Source organism: Homo sapiens, chromosome 10 (genome assembly GCF_000001405.40).
Source record: "Homo sapiens chromosome 10, GRCh38.p14 Primary Assembly".
Lineage (NCBI taxonomy): Eukaryota > Metazoa > Chordata > Mammalia > Primates > Hominidae > Homo > Homo sapiens.
In genome coordinates, this window is record NC_000010.11 from 35,008,288 (window position 1) to 35,029,114 (window position 20,827).

Consider the following 20,827-nt stretch of genomic DNA (forward strand, 5'->3'; position numbering starts at 1 on the left):
GGGAAGGTGTGCGCTGCAATGAATTCCAAACATTGCTCCCTTTCTGAATGGTGCCTTGGTTGAACAGATTTGGCCTCTCTTCCTCATGCGAGAGATGTTTCCTTTCAGATAAAATGGAGAAAGGATGTGAAGAAAACTCTTGTAAGCCATCTCTGTAGACCTCCGCACAAGTATTTTGTCCATTTTTCAGTATATTTTCTTGACAATTAGATACCAGGATAAGACTTAATTTAACATTTATAAATATTTAAGAAAAAAAGGAATCAATTTGGAAAACTTTTATCAATCAACAAGTTATCAAAACAAGGGTTTGCTTTTTGACAGTGAATGTACAATATTATATGGTTTGCCATTATTTCCTCTTTTGGAAGAAAGGTAAAATGAGAAATACATTATATAAGTCATTATAAGTTCAGTAGATTTTTAAAACACTTGAGACACGAGTTAGAAAAAATGCAATTGAATAAACCAATTGTAAGACCCATCTCAAAACAACAAATTTAAATATGAACCACATATTAGATGATACTAAGTAATTATTGTTTTTGTTAGGAGTAATAATATCACTGTGGATTTTTTAAAGGCCTTACTGAAGTATTATAAGTGAAATAATTTGTGTGATTTGCTTTAAAATATTCCGATTTTAAAAATTTTGTGTTGGATGGATGCAGTGGCTCATGCTTGTAATCCCAGCACTTTGGGAGACAGAGATAGGATTGCTTGAGGCCAGAAGTTCCAGACTAGCCTGGGAAACATGGCGAAACCCCGTCTCTTATTTTTTTTAAAATAAAGAAAAATTGTATGTTGAGGGAGGAGGGGTGTGGTGGTGGTGGTGATGGTGTGGATAGACAATAAATATGATAATAGATCGCAGTACTCTTAACACTGCTGTTGAGATATATATATATATATATTATATATATATATATATATAAAATAAACAAAATAATGGGATTTATATATGTGGCACCCAGTACAATGTACAATTTTCTTTTTTAAAAAAGTATTTAGGTTATGCATTGCTAAGCACATCTGTGATTGATGAGAGTGACTCTAGTATCTAAACTGTTGGAGGAGGGTTGTAAGGGTAACAGGTAGGGGAGGCATATAGAAGGAATATGTTGGTATCATAGATTTCCTAAGACTCAGGGAAGGCCACAGAGCTAGGGTACTAGTCTATGCTAGAATTAATGGATTATGCAACCGAAGAAAGACAACTTTTGAATGAAAAGCTCTCTCTGTGCCAGACTTGAGGTCACCAAGCATCCTGCTCACACTCTGCGATGTCTGTGGAGTAGCACACCACCAGAAACTGCTGATGGAATTACATCTTCAAGATTCAAAATGTTTAGATCCAATATATCTAATCCATAAAAATAAAGCATTCTTTATGCTGAATGCAGTCCTATGCAGTCAAGAACAATAATCTAGACATTTTTCATGTAGGATTTAAATAGGAGTACAAGTGAATTAAACCATTCAGATAAAAACGCAACTAAAGATGCATTAGCTGCTTTGAGTCAATATATTTTGTGGTCAACCTGATACTCCATCCACATAAAAAAGGCATTCTATTTCTTTATTTTTTTTTTATTTGACAAGCAGCAGTATCATGTTTGTCATTTTAATGTAGATACAATTATTAGGTTATCTGTCATATTACAATATTTAAGTTTTTAAATTTTATGTCCTTTAAGATACATTAAAAAAAAAAAAAAAGACACATCAACTGCAAACGTGAAGGGGAGAAAAAGCATGGTACCCAACCGAATTTCCACTTTTCAGCAATACTTCACTCATTCTTTTAATAAAGTTTTAAGAAATGTCATAATGACATGAGCTTGAAATATCTCTAGGCATTTTCTTTGACGCTCATGACGTGGCACTGGTGATGTTGTAAACAGCAGAAAACAGGGGCTGCCAAATGACCAAATTATGGAGGCACAGTCCTGCTTTTTCCCACAGGAACACACCAAATGGTGATGGCAATGATCTTCTCACACCACGCTGGAGGAGAGCGACATCACGCGACGTAGCTGTATTCATCTGCCGACGCCTGGCTGCGTTCTATGTATTGTTTGTCTATCAGAACTTCAATACACTTCTTAATCATGCTGATACTGGGATTAAACCTAGCTCTTGACTGGCTAATCACCTGTGGAAGAGATGTGGAAGTCAAACTACTGCCAGTTCTTCAGCTATTAAGTAATGACTTTTAACCAATCAGTTTAAAGTGCCTCAAATGTACTGAGGTTTCAACAAATGGGCCAAATTAAGTATGAAAATAGGAACTACAATGTGGAAAATGGATACAGCAAAATCTAATAATGATACATAATTAAGTGAAACAATAAACTAATTAACCTAAGTACTCACACACAACCCCAAGCTTCTATTTAACTCAACTCTCAGCTCTTAGTTCAAACACTTTCTCAAGAAAGTTTTCCCCAGCAGCCCCTAGGCCAGGATATTTAAATACATTCTCATAGTACTGTATACGTTTCCTTCAGTGCATGCTAATGTAATTTTACATTTATTTGCATATCATTTCAATAGTGTATTTCTTCCCCCATTAAACTGTGAACTCCAAAAAAGCCTGCCATATCTTCAGCTGCTCTGTGCTATATCCCAGGGACCAGCCCAGCTGTCTATCACATGGTAGGCTCAGATAGTTATGGAATGAATGAATATCTGATGGGTCAATTTCCTTCAATAACTGGACAGAAGACTCAATGAATCAGCAAGTTTTAGACCTCTAAAATAAAGCCAAAGCAAATATGAATTTATTATTATCATTTGAGATAGCATCTCACTGTGTCACACAGGCTCAATCCCTGGGCTCAAGCAATCCTCCCGCCTCAGCCTCCCAAGTAGTTGGTACTACAAGTGTGCCGCCACAACTGGCTAATTTTTTAATTTTTTAATTTTTTTTTTTTTTTTTTTTTAGGTGAGATGGGGTCTCCCTGTGTTGCCCAGGCTGGTCTGAAACTCCTGGACTCAAGTGATCCTCCTGTCTTGGCCTAACAAGACATTCAGATTACAGGTGTCCACTGGGCATGGTGGCTCACACCTGTAACCCCAGCACTTTTGGAGGCCGAGGCAGGTGGATCACCTGAGGTCAGGAGTTCGAGACCAGCCTGGCCAACATGGTGAAACCCTGTCTCTACGAAAAATACAAAAATTAGCCAAGTATGGTGGTGCACGCCTGTATTCCCAACTACTCGGGAGGCTGAGGCAGGAGACTCACTTGAACCTGGGAGGCAGAGGTTGCAGTGAGCCAAGATCACGCCACTGTACTCCAGCCTGGGCGACAGAGCAAGACTCTGTCTCAACAACAACAACAAAAAGGATTACAGGCATGAGCCACTGTGCCCAGCCTGCAAATCTGAATTTAATACTGAAATTGTGAGTGAGTACGATTCTGATTAAGTATGAAACATTTCTTTATGCTATCTGAGGATCAGGTTATTTCTGTATCCTCTTTAAGAAGAAAGAGACTGAATCTGTACAATGACAATGCCCTCTACCCTAAGAAGCCCTGAGGACTGCCCTCCTTTTACCTCTTGAATAAGGGCATTGTGCCGAAGCACTTTTCGTGCTTTCATGATACGAACTATAGCAGCTTGGAGATACATTTTCCGGTCCTCATCAACTGCACTTCTAGTCTGCTCCATTTCCTGTTTTACAGAAGAAAAGAAAAAAGACCCAACAAGACATTAAGTCACTGAACTTGTTTTCAATTCATTTTATCAGTGAGTGCAAATACTTTTTTTTTTTTTTTTTTGAGACAGGGTTTCACTCTGTCGTCCTGGCTGGAGTTCAGTGACTCGCTCTCAGCTCACCGCAACCTCCATCTCCTGGGTTCATGTGATTCTCATGCCTCAGACTCCTGAGCAGCTGGGATTACAGGTATGCACCACAATATTGAGCAAATTATATAGTTATGTTGTGCCAATATCACATAACCACTGCTAAAACATCTACAATTTCTAGGGTTAAAGTTGAAAGATTAGAAAAAAATTTACATTATTGTAAACTGTACTGTTAAGGTAAAGAGGCAATAAAGGAGGACACAGCAATAATTTGCAAGATCATTTTCTTATCAGTGATTACAGAATCTTTCATGACGCTTTTAGATGGAGTTGTGTCAACTGCAGTAATTAGCTCCAAATGCATACTGGATCAGGCTTCAAAGGGAAGAGCTGTGAAGTGGCATTTTATGTGGCTCAAGCAGAGAAGCCAGGAGAGGGGGCCTATCTCCACGGAGCTCAAGAAACACAGAAGCAAGGCATAGAAGCAGACCATGCCACATTAAGAGGATCTCCTCACAGCGTTTCAAAGACAAAATACAATCTATATATTGCAAATTATTATTTATTAGCCTGGAGGAAAATGGAATCTTGACCATTTTAGGTTTCAAAGTAAATGGCAGTTAATATTTGTCTCCCCCCATCGGGAATTAAGTTTCTGGAGAGGGTCTAACATCTTATATTATCTTCACATCCTGCATCAGCCCAAGGACTGCACACCGGAGGCAATCAGGAAGCATAAGTGATAGAAACAGTCTATCCCAGACCAAAGCAACAATCACTGCTGAGTTAAAATAATGAAGAGCAGAAGTCCCCTCCTCACACTGGCCTGTCAGTACCTCACTCCACACCCACTAGATCACAATCTGCATTTGAACAAGATGCCCAGGTGGCTCATTTGCATATGAAAGTTTAAGAAGCATTTTCTACTGACAAATTTTCTTTGAAAGAAATGAGCTGTAGGCCAGGCGCGGTGGTTCACACCTGTAATCCCAGCACTTTGGCAGGCTGAGGCGGGCGGATCACGATGTCAGGAGATCGAGACCACCCTGGCTAACACAGTGAAACCCCGTCTATACTAAAAGTACAAAAAACAAAATTAGCCAGGCATAGTGGTGGGCGCCTGTAGTCCCAGCTACTCAGGAGGCTGAGGCAGGAGAATGGCGTGAACCCGGGAGGCAGAGCTTGCAGTGAGCCGAGATCACACCACTGCACTCCAGCCTGGGCGAGAGAGCAAGACTCCGTCTCAAAAAAAAAAAAAAAAATGAACTGGAGAACTTTCCCTTATTTTACAAATGAAAAATATGAAATTTTATTACTTCTCAATGTGGGAATTTTCGGAGAGAATGCATAGTTACACATTCTAATGGTTTAAGAGCAAATACAACAAAACCATACCCTTTTCCTTAGAAAAAACTAAAATACAAGTAGAGATTTCTGTTTGACTGTAAGGTTAATAAATGCCAACAACAAACCAGAAAAGACATATCCCATTATTAATTTTGCTGTGCAAAGTTTTGCACAATCTCAATGTAAACACTTGTAAAGTCCAATGCTTAAATGTTTCCCCCTCAAAAAAAACTTGACATTAAAAGCACTTACTTGTGGTGTGTCTTTCTGCATTGATGTAGTAATTTTAAATTTTGTTCTTTTACTGCTAAAGTTCATATTTAATGAAAACGAAGATTCTGCATCAATATCTTCCTACATTTAAAAATAAAACATTTATATTTATAAAAACCAAAATCTTTAAATAAGAGTTTGCTGCAAGCAATTCTGCTAAATTAATGACCAAGCAAAAAAGCCTCCACTCTCATAACTTTTATATTATAGATTACCAAATTTAAGAGAAAAATAATTCTTTTGTTCAAACAAACAGGAAAAAACCCAATTATTTTCTACTTTTACATCTGCCAGAATCTTAAGCAGTTTATGTTTGGGAATAAGCTATTTTCTGGTCCTACTATTCTATATACACTACTTTTTGATAAAATAAGAGTCAAGCTCATTGCCTAGAGTTTGACATTTTAATTTTTATGAAACACCAAAGTGCGTAACTTTTCCATCACCCCATTTTGAAAAAGCAACCACATTTTTTTTTACAAATGCCGCAGTAACAAAATACCCACTGTAAATGGCCTGATGACAAGAGAAAGCTGTGCCTCCAGTAGCACACAGCATCAATTTGCTGTGACCTGGGGTGATGGTGAAAACATTTATTTCAATCCATGTTTTATTCACTCTTCAAGAAGCAAGTGGCCTTTGCTCAGGGGAAAACTGTTTAGGCAATTTTTAGAATAACAACTTCTGTATCAGGCTTAAGAAAGCCACTGATATCATAGAGTGGAATTTCTCTGGCAGCAGAATCAAAAGGCACTTGGAAGATGAAATAATTCTCAATAATAATCTAAGACATTCTGCTAAGGAATGGACAGATTCATAATTAAATTTAAAGGCCAGGCATGGTGGCTCACGTCTGTAATCCCACCACTTTGGGAGGCTGAGGTGGGCAGATTACTTGAGCTCAGGAGTTTGAGACCAGCCTGGCCAACAAAGCAAAACCCGGTCTCTACTAAAAATTAAAAAATTAGCCTGGCATAGTGGCTTACACCTGTGGTCCCAGCTACTTGGAAGGCTGAGGCAGGATTATCACTTGAGCCCAGGAGGTGGGGATTGCAGTGAGCTGAGATGGCACCACTGCACTCCAACCTGGGTGGCACAGCAAGATCTCATCTCAAAAATAAATAAACATAAAATAAAATTTAAAGTGCAAACAAGGAATCTATGTTTACTTTGTCAATTTCTGGGCAGCAAAAATAGCATGTTTTAGAAAAAAATATAAAACCTTTAAGAATTTACTAGCCTAAAATTAGAAACCATAATTAATTAACCTTAAGAAATCCCTATTTTGGCCAGGCACAGTGGCTCACGCCTGTAATCCCAGAACTTTGGGAAAGACAGGTGGATCACCTGAGGTCAGGAGTTCGAGACCAGCCTGACCAGCCTGGCCAACATTGTGAAACCCTATCTCTACTAAAAATACAAAATTAGCTGGGCATGGTGGCACGTGCCTGTAGTCCCAGCTACTCAGGAGGCTGAGACAGGAGAATCATTTGAACCCAGGAGGTGGAGGTTGCAGTGAGCCAAGATCACGCCATTGCACTCCACCCTGGGCAACAAGAGTGGAACTCCGTCTCAAAAAAAAAAAAAAAAAATCCATATTTTGCTAAGATTCTGATGCCAGATAAATCATTTCTCAAAATTATGAAAACATTGATTTGAATTTCAGAATATGCCTTTTACAGTTGTTCAGTTATAGACTATAAAATGTCATCATAATCCTAGGGATGTCAGCAAAATGAATTAATGAGAGAAATAAACTGTAGGCTATTAACTTTACAAAAATAAAAACAAAACATTATTTATAGGAATTTTTTCTTATAAGCACAATAATTTGAAGGAGATATAATCCCACCTCTGTTGCATTTTTAACTATTTAAACATCTAGGATATACTATGACAACAAAACAGCAAAATCTTGTAACTAGAAAAAAAGTTACAGAGAAAAAAAGTAATATACTAATGGCTTGTTATTCTTGTGACAGATATTAAAAATATATGGTGGTTAAAAACAGATGACAGTTAATTGAGTGCTGACATTAAGAACACTTGGAATGGAGTTACACATATTAAATATGTGTACAAACAGACATCAACAGGCTGTCATTTCCTGTTATAGAACCATGAAATTAAGCACATTTATAAAACCAAAAACCTGGAAAGTCTTTAAAGGCTAGTTTCAAAATCTCAATTAATCAAAATCTTCCAGATGGCAATTCTTTTACAATTATTCAATAAGCTGTAACAGTATAGGACAAATAAAATCAAACTATAAACGGCACATGGCACCAACTCACACAGCATGCTCTGTGATGCCTTAACGCTCGCAGCTCTATGGAGCGTACAGTAACGTAGTGAATACAAGTGCTTTCCAGAGCACAATAACAATTACAGCCTTATTTTAAAACTGCAAACATCTCATGAAAAAGCTTTAATGCTGATGATGCTTAAATTCTTTGGAATATTACTACATACCTTTTCTGAATCATGGTTAATCATTTTCACATCAAGTAATGATTTGATTGTTTTTGTCAGTTCCTTTTCATTCATCTGAGTGCTGTCCTGAAGCTCTTTATAACTGACAGTTTCACTGTTGTTAAAGGCAAGAAGAACTGCCATTTGGTATGTTGTAACCATGGCTACATATGGTTTGCCCAAATAGTTCATTTTAACTTCACCTACAATTAAAACAAAAACTGACAGTGAATTGACCATTCAAAGAAACATTTCAAATTTACTTTATTTCAGACATTTTCTTCGGAAAGAGTGAACCAATAATTTTATTAAATTGTTGTAAAGCCACTGCTGTTAACAAGGTAGTCATTTTGTTTCTTGGGGAGGTGAGGATGGAAGTCTATTAGTTTTGAGTATATGGTATAAATCAGTAAAACTATCATAACTTCACCAGTAGGTTAAAACAGTCTTTAAGGCCAGGCGCAGCGGCTCACGCCTGTAATCCCAGCACTGTGGGAGGCCGAGGCAGACAGATCACTTTAGGTCAGGAGCTCGAGACCAGCCTGGTCAACATAGTAAAACCCCATCTTTACTAAAAGTACAAAAATTAGCCAGGCATGGTGGCTCATGCTTGTAATCCTAGCCACTTGGGAGGCTGAGGCAGGAAAATCACTTGAACCTGGGAGGCGGAGGTTGCAGCAAGCCAAGATCACACCACTGCACTCCAGCACGGGTGACAGAGCGAGACTCTGTCTCAAAAAAAAAAAAAAAACAAAAAAAAAAGTCTTTAAATATTAATAGAAATGCTAAGACTTAGGCAGAAAAAGAAAAGAACAAAAAACCCAAACAATAAAAGGAGGTGGGAGAAGGAGAAATGGACAGACAAAGGGCAAAGTGATATCAGCAACAGCCTCAAGTGCTGTCGATAGCTGGGCTCTCCCAGGTAAGGTTCAAGCCTCCTGGGAGGTCCACAGCCACATGGAAAATGCTTTTGAGGCCCTGTCTAAGCTGTAATTTCTGCCAAAATTAATGCTATTATGTCTCATAAACAACATTTTTCTTTCCAGTAACTTCCTAGAGGCAAACAGGTATGAAAGGAGAGACAAACAGGCAGACCCATTCTCTTGCTGAAAGTTGATAGCAAAAGAATCTGAATGTTTTCATAAAAATGTTTAATCTGAATGTTTTCATAAAAATGAAAAACATTTAATCTGAATGTTTTCATAAATATGTTCTATATGTGCTGGGCACGGTAGCTTATGCCTGTAATCCCAGCACTTTGAAAGGCCGAGGTGGGCAGATCACTTAAACCCAGGAGTTCGAGACCAGCCTGGTCAACATGGCGAAACCTTGTCTCTACTAAAAATACAAAAATTCGCCGGGCATGATGGCATATGCCTGTAAACCCAGCTACTCGGGAGGCTAAGGTATAAGAATCCTTGAACCTGGGAGGCAGAAGTTGCAGTGAGCCAAGATCACACCACTGCACTCAAACCTGGGCGACAGAATGAGTATCTGTCTCAAAAAAAAAAAAAAAATTCTATATGCTAAATGACCCTGGGAGCTCTAAGAGATAGAGCAAGTATTATGTATACTACAGTTCTGCAACATCCTGGGAGACAGCAGCATGACATCAGCACACTGAAAGCTCATAATGAATAATATGGCAAACATGTCTACACTCTGTAATGTTCCATACGTGTTTAAAAAAAAAAAAAAAGAAAAGAAAAAAGATGCAGATCAAAGAGCTGCTTCCTAAAGCACGAAGTTGTGGTTTGACGACTAACACACACACGGCCTGCATTATTTGATTGTTGAATGGATTATAAATGAAATTGGGCCAGGCGTGGTGGCTCACGCCTGTAATCCCAGCATTTTGGGAGGTGGAGGCAGGCGGATCACGAGGTCAGGAGATCGAGACCACGGTGAAACCCCTGCTCTACTAAAAATACAAAAAAAAAAAAAAACTAGCAGGGCGCAGTGGCGGACACCTGTAATCCCAGCTACTCGGGAGGCTGAGGCAGGAGAATGGCGTGAACCCGGGAGGCGGAGCTTGCAGTGAGCCGAGATCGCACCACTGCACTCCAGCCTGGGCAACAGAGCAAGACTCCATCTCACAAAAAAAAAAAAAAAAAAAAAAAAAAGATGAAATCAACATGAGATTTGATTTTAAAGCTCTTCATTGTTAACTCAAGGAAGCTGTATTTCTCATAAAATTACCCCAGAGACTGCATTTTCCCTCTCAAGGATAATTAGTAACTCTGATTAAGGTTTTCTGCTTTATGTATTCATTACCTCATTAAAGATTTTAGGCCGGGCGCAGTGGCTCACGCCTGTAATCCCAGCACTTTGGGAGGCCGAGGCAGGTGGATCACCTGAGGTCTGGAGTTCAAGACCAGCCTGACCAACATGGAGAAACCCCGTCTCTACTAAAAATACAAAATTAGCCGGGTGTGGTGGTGCATGCCTGTAATCTCATCTACTCCGGAGGCTGAGGCAGGAGAATGGCTTGAACCCGGGAGGTGGAGGTTGCTGTGAGCCGAGATCGCGCCATTGCACTCCAGCCTGGGTAACAAGAGCGAAACTCCGTCTCAAAAAAAAAAAAAAAAAAGATTTTAAAGGCTATGAGTGAATTCATTAGCTTAATATCACCATAAATGCAATATTATCTTGATTATTATCATTTATGCCTTGACATTTCAGATAAAACTGATATTTAGAAACATTTTTCAGAATTATCTGGATGGGAATACCAAGAGAAAAAATTCATAGCCCTCTAAATTTTCACAAAAGGAGGTTTAATATATTAAATTCAATATCCAATTCATAGAAACAGCTTGTGCAAAAAATTATCATTTGGAGTATACTATTAACAATTTCTATAAAAAGGACTCTTATCAACATTTAAGTTTGGAAAATGTAAGTAAAACATTACATAAATTGCATTTTGTTATTTCTGCAATGACGACTTAATCATATGCAGAAATAAGTAGAGAATTATGCATCAAGCACCAAGATGATTAAGTGGCACCATCAGCCAGGATGTCACTGATGCTGTAATATGCTGCCGTGGGTTTGAAAGCAGAATGAGTCTTCTGCCGTCTTTCAGCACCACGAGACCCAAAGAGCATTAGGAGATCATGCGAGGGGCCAAAGCATCATTTACTTCTTATTGAGTTCATTCTTTCATTGTGCCCTTTCTTGCTATTTTTCAATACTCTACCAGGGATCAGGGGTACACTGACCTCTTCCCACTTTTCTTAGCACCATACTCTTACTGAAAAGACTGGGGAAGGGGTGGGAAGACACGACAGGGGAAAGGAAACTTCAAACTTGGATGATTCATTTAATTACTGTGGTGTAAACACAAATGAGAAACAACAAGAGTGGTGATTTACCCTGCAGAATAGGTTGGCAAACCCTAAGAGACTAAAAACTAAAATAAAACATTCTGATACATGCATACTTAAAGTAAGCCAACAATAAATAATTCAAGCAGCATTTACAATGACAGGAAATAAAGAGCGGGCAGAACTCTCACAATAGTTTCATCCAAGTCACTCCCCAGTATCTGTGTCAGCTCTCTACTCTCTCAGGGCAAGTTGAAGGCATGATAGGATATCACCATTTTGCAACCAGTAATGAAACAACTGATTCTGGCAAGGATCATCAGTGGAGGCTAAAACTACATTAGGTTCCTGGAACAGGGTATTCATGCCAAAGTATCATCCCTCAGACTGTCTGCTAAGCTAACTGAAGAGGGGAAAGAGTGCCTCTACAATGGAGATATCTGGTGGTTACCGCCTTCATCAAGTGACCAAATTTAGCATCTCTAATAGTGAGACAATCTGACATTAGATGCCTTTGAAATATGCAATATGAAATACACAGGACCACCTATGAAATATCCTTGCCAATAATACTTAACTGAATATAATCAAACCTTTAGAACTAATTTCCACTTTCCAGAACATACAAGGAATAGAAAACAAATTTAAAAAAAAAAAAAATAAATCACAAATAAGTAATCCAAAGTACTGGATATTCTACAAGACAACTGGCCTGGTCTGTTCAAAACAGTGTGTCAAAGAATGCTGAGAAGTGGGGAGGTGGAAGGGAAATGTAACAACCAAATACAATTAGTGACCTCTGACAGTCAAGCAAGTCACCTTGGGACAGTCAGGGAAATTTGAATATGGACTGGACATTAGACAATACTAACATCCCTCCCTATTTTTAGCTGTTGGAATTATTTGAAAACAAAAGCAGGACAAATTTAGTCAATAGAATCGTTATCTTTTAAGGTATGCACAATGATATGGTGTTACTTTTATTCTGGCAAACACTAGTAACTACCAACACATACTATGATGTAGGGTTCACAAAATTCTAGCCTGATCCATACTATGTACTGTCTGGTGAAGTTTTTTTTATCTTCCTTGAGTTCATCATTTCTCAACGTGTCTTTCAGCAACTGACCAGCAATCTCTACAACTTCTTGCTCTGCCACAAATAAAACTTATTTATACAAAGACAGTGTAATGGTTTCTGTCACACTGTCTGGTTATATCTCTTTATCAAGTATCTGTATGTCTTTATCAAACTGTTCCTTATCGTTAATTCTATCCAAAGCCTTAGTCATAAATCCAGTGGAATTTTCAGGATTTTTCTCACTCTGTCACATCTGGCATCACAGATTGCTTCTTAAAATTCTTCCTCTGTTGGAAATACACTCTCAACACTCTCCTTTACGTAGCTTGGTTAAGTCCTATTCATTCTTTTTATTTTATGGGTTTTTTTTTTTTTTTTTCAAGACAGGGTCTCACTATGTTGCCCAGGCTGATCTTGAACTCCTGGGCTCAAGTGATACTCCTGCCTCAGCCTCCCACAGTGCTAGATTACTATGACCTTATTTAACCTTGATCACCTTCTCATGGACCTTAGGGGTTAGAGCTTCAACAGAAGACTTTGTAGGGAGCACATTACAGTCTCTGCAAGCCATGGACATGGTGACAATTTTATTCCATTCTAACTGCAGATTAAATTAACCTCCATGTTAATCTGCAGCATGTTTTCTTTCTTTCTTTCTTTCTTTTTTTTTTTTGAGACGGAGTCTTGCTCTGTCGCCCAGGCTGGAGTGCAGTGGCGTGATCTCGGCTCACTGCAATCTCCGCCACCCGGGTTCATGCCATTCTCCTGCCTCAGAGAATCTTATTTTCTGCACACTGCTGTGTATAAACATACATTTTTTTATATATGTATGTATATATATACACACACACACATACATACACACACACAAATATGTAGTGATAAAACTATATAGATGATATTTCCATAATTAATACATGTTTATATTAATGTCAATTTTAATGTATGAATATGTATTAAATAAAAACCCATTTCATTTACATATACATGTATATCCTTCCTTCCTTCCTTCTTTCATTTATTATTTTTTATTTTCATTTATTTATTTTCTTTTTGGGCCTGCCTGGTCTTCTCACTCTGGGCTCTGGTGACCTCAGCCTCCCAAGTAGCTGGGACTACAGGGATCTCTTAAGCCCGGGAGGCAGAGGCTAATGTGGGCTGTGATCGCGCACCTCCACTCCAGCTTACGTGAGGTGGGGTGAGGAGAGGCGAGGTGGGGTGAGGTGAGGCGAGGTGAGGTGAGGTGAGGTGAGGTGAGGTGGGGTGGGGTGAGGTGGGGTGAGGTGGGGTGAGGTGGGGTGAGGTGGGGCGAAGTGGGGCGAGGGGGCACCCGGCCCTATTAGCTCTTGAAAACAAGTTGAGATGTGATTTCCCCAGAAGACTTCCCTCGCAAGGACCTGACTGCCACCACCATTCTGTGATATGCCCTGGGCTGGCCTCTATCACATTCAAAACACCGTACTGTAACTATGTACGTATGTCTGTCTTCCTACTAGACATGAGTTTTTTTTGAGGGCCAAGGCTCTGTATTTTATTTCTGTCCACTTGGCGTTTAGAAGTACCTGAGACATAGAAAATGTTCTTTGAGTTGATCAATGAATTTTACAACAATAAAGAGAAGGAAACAGGCTCAAAGGAGTTAAGTAATTTGCTTAAGATTACACAGCTAATAAGTTGTGAGCTAATAACTCCAGCCACAGGTCTTCTGATTCTAAATTCCCCCAAACACCACCTTGTGCACCATCAACCATTTGTGAAGACTCTTCATTTACAATACAAAAATTAACCTTTTCTTGGGTATTCCATGAGCTGGGAATGTAGAAATAGACTAGGCAAGAATAATTTTCATTCTATGTTTAAGCAGAAGTAACAGGGGTTCTCAAGAAACAGAACTCTGAGAGATCTGTCCAGCCTCAGAGCCAGTGTTTTAAAGAAGTCCTGGAGCCTTAGGCCATATATGGGTAATCTAGAACAAGTATCTTCAATACACATAGCGTGTGAGAAACTTTTTGTTAAATGAATAAATGGAGAACAAAAATAAAATGAAAAATGTTGATCAAAGGGGACAAAGTTTCAGTTAGGACCAGTAAGTTCTGGAGATCTATCATATAGCATGGTGACTGTTAATCTACTGTGGAGTAAACTTGAAAATTACTGTGACAAGGCTGGGCACGGTGGCTCATGCCTGTAATCCCAGCACTTTAGGAGGCCGAGGTGGGTGGATCACGAGGTCAGGCGTTCGAGACCAGCCTGGCCAACATGGTGAAACACCGTCTCTACTAAAAATACAAAAATTAGCTGGGAGTGGTAGTGTGTGCCTGTAATCCCAGCTACTCAGAAGGCTGAGGCAGGAGAATCACTTGAACCCAGAAGGTGGAGGTTGCAGTGAGCCGAGATCGCCACTGCACTCCAGCCTGGGTGACAGAGCAAGACCCCATCTCAAAGAAAAAAAGAAAAAGAAAATTGCTGTGACAGTAATTGCTGTGACAGTAGATGTTAAATGCTCTCACCACAAATAAAGATAAGTGAGAAGCTACTTATGTTAATTAGCTTGAGTTAATCATTTTACAATATAAACATAACAAAGCATCACACTGTACACTGTAAACAGATACAATTTTTATGTGTCAATTGTATCTTATCAAAGTTGGGAAGAAAAACAACTCTAACTCCTGGTTTCACTGATAGGTCACAGGTGTTTTCAGTACCTTCGGTGACTCAAAACAAAAAAATAAACTTATAAGGTTCTCTTTCCAAAGGAAGTAACTATTTGGTTTTAACTAAAACACAAATAATATTAAATAAAAGAAATGAACAAACAAAAGAGCTCCCCAAATCAACTTATGTATCAGCTTAGAAATTTAGTATAGCTCAAAAACAGAAAGAAAGTTATTCTCTTTCCTATTTAGGTGATATTGGTGACTATTTTCAAACTAAATTCCAATGGCTAAAAAACTATGTGCATAAATTTATTTTCTTCTTATACACCACTGGTTGTTAAAATGAGCCCCTTACTAAAATTACTTTAGGAGACACATTGATTATTGCTGAAATAATGAGAATAACCAAGAATGTTTAAACTCCCCCAGACAGATATTCATGGAAAGTAAAAGCAAGCTAAATCGAACTGCACTAAGATATATTAGTTTTCTTAGGGGAAAAAAAAAAAATCTAAAACCCTGGTCCAGCATTTTTTTCTTAAAATCAATTATGTTTACTAAATGAAAATAGAACATATTGATTGACTGGTTGAGACAGGGTCTTGCTCTGTTGCCCAGGCTGGAGTGCAGTGGCACGATCATGGCTCACTGCAGCCTCCAGCTCGTGGGCTCAAGTGATCCTCCCATCTCAGCCTCTCGAGTAGCTGGGACTACAGGTGTGCTCCACCACGCCTGGCTAATTTTTGGATTTTTTAGTAGAGACAGGTTTTGTCATGTTGCCCAGGCTGGTCTCAAACTCCTGGGATTAAGTGACCCACCTGTCTCAGCCTCCCCAAGTGCTGGGGTTACAGGTGTGAGCCACTGCACCTAGCCAAAAGTCAAATTAAAATTTGACCTTTGACTACCACTAAGAGTATCAGTAAAAAATCTCATTTCAAAAATTATTTTAAAAATTAGAATGTCCAACTTGCTCAGTAAAGATCGACTTATATAAGTAATGCAAAATGTATTACTAATACAATGAGCCATCACGTTCCCAAGATGTAAATTAGTCAAATAAACACCAAGTATCATAGTTACTTGGATAAAGTAACTCTTGGGGAGGGGATAGAAAACATTTCCTAATAAAGGTTATGGCAAATGATTTTCTTGTACCATCTCTAAGAAATATTAGCATATATACCCTTTCCTTCTTGTACAAAGAAAAAGTGATTCAATGAACTTGTCAAAGCATAGTTTAGCAAAAAAAGAGAAAATTCAAGTGTCTGCTTTGGCTTACATCTTCAGGCAACTCCACACACAGTCCACAATAATTCAGGTATTAATCCTACTGTAAGTAAGTGGACTCCATTGTTCCAGAAAGAAGCAAAGGAAATTAGATTGTGATAAAAGTTTTTTAAAATTGGAAACTATTGAAAATTAAGTAGGACTTTCTGCAAAAAGCTTTACTATTGCATTCACTGCAGTATCACAAGTAAAAATCAAATGGTTAGGTCTCCTTATGATGCTATAATAAAGAAACTGGCAAGAGGATCTGGCATACTTAGAGAACAAGTTTCTAAGTGTGTCTGCCCCATCAAATGTGAGTTTCTAAATACATTTGCTAATGAAGTGGTTGGCTAGAGAAATGTAATAAATCAGTATAAAGTCAGAACATTTCTTTAAAAGCAGCAAGATTATAAACAGTGTAATTATAAAATACTATGAAAAAGTGCTATACTTGGATTTCATTGTTAGTTGCTTTAATGGGGAAAGGTTGATGGAGGAGAAAAGGTTAAAAACTGTAATTGGGCCATAGAAAACCTCTTTCTAAATTAATATAATCATCAGGTAAATTTCATTAAGCCAGATATAATTAAATGCATTTTACCTGTACACAGATAATGTAACCATGTAAGTTTCCTTCCACTGAAATGTTGGCTATAAAATAATTCAAACTGTAAAAAAAAAAAAAAAACACACATTATTTTTAGCTACTATAACTTGCCTAGTTAATTAACACAATACTACAAAAGCAATGAAAACCATTCATATTAGAAGAGACATTAAAGCCCATCTGGTTTACCTCCTTCTTTTACAGAGGAGAAAGCACGTTCCTGTGGTCCCTAATCAAGGCTATACACATATATTCCAGCTCTTTTAATTGACAACTTGTTCTAGAGTTCTCTCCACTAAACCACAGCACTGCAAATTTGACTTTCTGTATGACACAGTGATTCATTATCATTTCTGAATAATACTAACATGGACTTTATAAATTCTACTAACCAAACACAGCAACATATATATTTCACCATGAAAAGAGAAACCCTACCTTCATCTCTAATCTCCCATTTGCCAACATATAGCTTCCACATTCAATTAGACACAAATACGAAGTTTTAGGGTATATCTCTGGATTATTCTTTTGCTGATATTATTGTGAACAATTAAATTTAAATTCTATTAATGTAGCCTTCAAATTTTAAACATTCCTCCCTGGACTGAATGTGTAATTACAGAACAAAAATACAGAGTTCTTTTTTCTTTAATAAAGAGCTAGTATACAATAAAAAGTGGAAAAATGATACTGGATGTGAAAAAGATAAAAACTCAATTTCTTTATAAAACTAAAAAATAAACTGCATTATGCCAGTTCAGAATTCTGAATAAACTTTTAGCATGATGTACCATATATAACATACTTAAAGCTTTTATTTGTATATCAAACTTTACCTTTTGTACTTTAAAAAGGAAGTTCACATAAAGCAGTCAGCAATGACTGACCTATCAGCTATATTATGACCACTCCTTAACAGCAAAAGTTAATAGCTCCAGCCAAGAAAATGAGTCAATTCCTTCAGCAGTTACTCTAAGTTTGCCTAGTCCTGGGAAGCTGAAATATGTTGAGCCTATTTTCCCTCTAATGGTGCAGCATCCTCCTCTACCAGCAGATCCACCAATCCCTTTGCAGGATGAACAGGAGATGACTAGCACCTGGAATACTTCAGATTGCCTGCTTAGTTCTAATCCAGACAAACAGCAAATTGAAATATGTCATAAGAGGATTTCAGAAGTATGATCTGACTAACTAATAACTCCCAGGGATATCAATAAAATTCAATCACTACTATATAATTCACAATTTATAACACATTTACAATGAATCTGGACAAAAGCAAAATAAAAGTTAAAAAAACTTTCATTTTTTTCTCAAAACACTTTCGGAAATGAGAAATTCCAGCTTTAAAATGCTCATAATTTAAAGTGCAAAGCTGGCTTTAAAAGGTATATTCCAAGCTCTAAAAACATGTTTTACCTCTTCAGTAGTACTATTTGGTAAAGTTTTATTGACGATAATATCAATATGCCAAAAGAAGATACTGATTCATCCTTACATTTAAAATCTGACTACAAAGACTCTCGTATCTATAGCTAGTCAAGAACAAACAGACTCCAATAAATTCATCAATTCATATGGCACTACAAAGACCAAAGTTATAAAACCTTCCTTGATTATATCATTAAAATAATTGTGTTAGCAAAGCTTATTAGTAAAAAATATATGTTGACTAAACTTATTTTATTTTTTTAAATTTTATTATTATTATACTTTAAGTTTTAGGGTACATGTGCACAATGTGCAGGTTAGTTACATATGCATACATGTGCCATGCTGGTGTGCTGCACCCACTAACTCGTCATTTAGCATTAGGTATATCTCCTAATGCTATCCCTCCCCCCTCCTCCCAGACTAAACTTATTTTAAAATAAACAGGATAAAAAACAGCATTTTTCAAACACTGTTTAAGGGCATTAATTAGATCTCAAAGAGCCTTAAAAATTCAATGAGTTTATTTACCTTTAATAGATAGCTACATTAATATACACTACTTTAGATACTTTTTTTTTTTTTTTTTTTGAGGCGGAGTCTCGCTCTATCACCCAGGCTAAAGTGCAGTGGCGCAAACTCGGCTCACTGCAACCTCCACCTCCTGGGTTCAACCGATTCTCTTGCCTCAGCCTCCAGAGTAGCTGGGACTACAGGTGCATGCCACCATGCCCGGCTAATTTTTTCTATTTTTAGTAGAGACGGGGTTTCACTGTGTTAGCCAGGATGGTCTCAATCTCCTGACCTCATGATCCGCCCGCCTCGGCCTCCCAAGGTGCTGGGATTACAGGCGTGAGCCACCGCGCCCGGCAACTTTAGATACTTCTAATATTATTCAGGTTTTTGGCCTAGGTAAAAAAGAAATGTAACAATTAAGATTGACTGGCCTAAAGTATAAAATAAATTACTTTTAATTACAGCTTTAATTCCACAGTTTTGAGATACTTTGGTGTAAAATAAAGGTAATTCTTGATAGTTATATTTAAGATTAAGATGTAAAAAATGCAAATCATCACTAAGGCAGGATGGATTAATTTACATGAGAAAACTGTACACTATTAAGTATACAAATGGATTTCAATCCTATGTATCTGAAAACTTGGACTTACTAGAAAAAAAATAAAGGACAAACTCCCTCTACTGGTAATTGGAGACAATTCAAATGGAGAGAATAGTATTTTTGGAATCAGAATTTTACAGACAGAAACTCACTTCCTATTTGTAAATGGGGAAACTAAAACCTGAGGAAGACTATACATCAACAAATAAAGTTTAAAGAGTTAAAAACTATAAATAGAAAATAATTATTTCAAGGAAAGAGGAAAGAAAAAACTAAAGGAAAACTTCATTTCTGCCAGCTCCTATTCTCTCCCTTAATTTCAATCAGGGACACATGATATTTAAAAAGAAATGTAAAAGACTGCCAAGGCCAGGCATGGTGGCTCATGCCTGAAATCCCAGCACTTTGGGATGTATCCTTTCTGCAAAATTTGTAATAACCTTGGATTATAGTCTGCCCCATCCAATGAATGTCTGCACAAATGCTCTTCTTCACATAGTTTCTAAAATAGTCTGTGCTACAATCTCTTTTCAAAGAAGATGTAAGAAGTCCTAATTTAGCCTCCTATTCTGAAAGTCTATCATGCTTGCCTTCCTGAAACCTACCTGACTGGTTACAGGACTCTCCTCTATTAGTTATTACCACGAAACTAATAACCACTATCAATCACTGTTACTACTTACTCTACTAGCAGTTACTTCACATATATTTACCTACATTACAGGACAGAAATAAAAATATTACAAGGGCTGAATGAGGTATTTGGTCAAAATTCAAAAGGAAAACTGGTAAGTGATATTTTAGGTGTTGAATTCTAAGCTTTCTTCTGATATCAACATTTTTATAATTTAAAACTGCTTAATAGCAGATGATAGACTTACTCAGAATAAGAGACATGCTTTGACAAAGAACTGTATGACATTCTTCTTAGCATTTTAGTATCAATATTAGTAACTACAATAACTTACATTCTTCCTAAAGGGCAGACTGACTATAATTTCTGAATCTATTTTTATCACATGAACCCTTAAGACTCTGAAAAAATATTAAAGGTGATATAATATGAAGACAATTATTAAAATTCCTTTAGTCTTCTAATATATTTCCTGCAAACTTACCATCTGTACACTTTTTTCTAATTCCTGGGGAATTGCAAACGTAGATGAAGGAGCCTGAGTAAGAGGCCACGCACCAGCCTAGAAGGAAAAAAATAAAATAAAATAAGCTAAATGGATCAACATCTAAATTCAAAGTAAATATTTATTAAATAATCTAAGCATCTAAAACATTTTTTTCTTCCTCAAAATGTTGATGAAATCTGAGTATTTCTATCATGGCACATTTCATTCCAAACCAATAGGACCTTTTTTTGTTTTTTTTTTTTGAGATGGAGTCTCACTCCATCACCCAGGCTTCAATGCAG

At 37.5% G+C, this 20,827-nt stretch overlaps 1 protein-coding gene across 11 annotated transcripts in view, besides 1 other annotated feature; it reads right to left on the reverse strand.

Annotated features, from left to right (window-relative positions):
* Positions 1-263: 263 nt before the first annotated feature.
* The window catches only part of CUL2 (cullin 2), a 118,456-nt gene continuing 97,892 nt past the window's right edge, over positions 264-20,827 (reverse strand). For all 11 annotated transcript variants that reach the window (XM_011519745.2, XM_047425852.1, XM_011519743.1 and 8 more), the window contains 6 exons: positions 20,523-20,600; positions 16,845-16,911; positions 7,905-8,107; positions 5,412-5,513; positions 3,561-3,677; positions 264-2,155 (listed from right to left, as the gene is read on the reverse strand). In XM_011519745.2, coding sequence (XP_011518047.1) covers positions 2,024-2,155; positions 3,561-3,677; positions 5,412-5,513; positions 7,905-8,107; positions 16,845-16,911; positions 20,523-20,600 — 699 coding nt within the window. In that variant the 3' untranslated portion in view covers positions 264-2,023. The remainder of the gene's footprint in view (positions 2,156-3,560; positions 3,678-5,411; positions 5,514-7,904; positions 8,108-16,844; positions 16,912-20,522; positions 20,601-20,827) is intronic.
* Positions 4,409-4,979: an enhancer, noted in NCBI's record as "OCT4-NANOG hESC enhancer chr10:35301624-35302194 (GRCh37/hg19 assembly coordinates)". NCBI's record gives its function as "activates a minimal SCP1, AML or CMV promoter by ChIP-STARR-seq in naive H9 embryonic stem cells {active_cell/tissue: H9 hESC(naive)}" and the evidence as "EXISTENCE:reporter gene assay evidence [ECO:0000049][PMID:30033119]".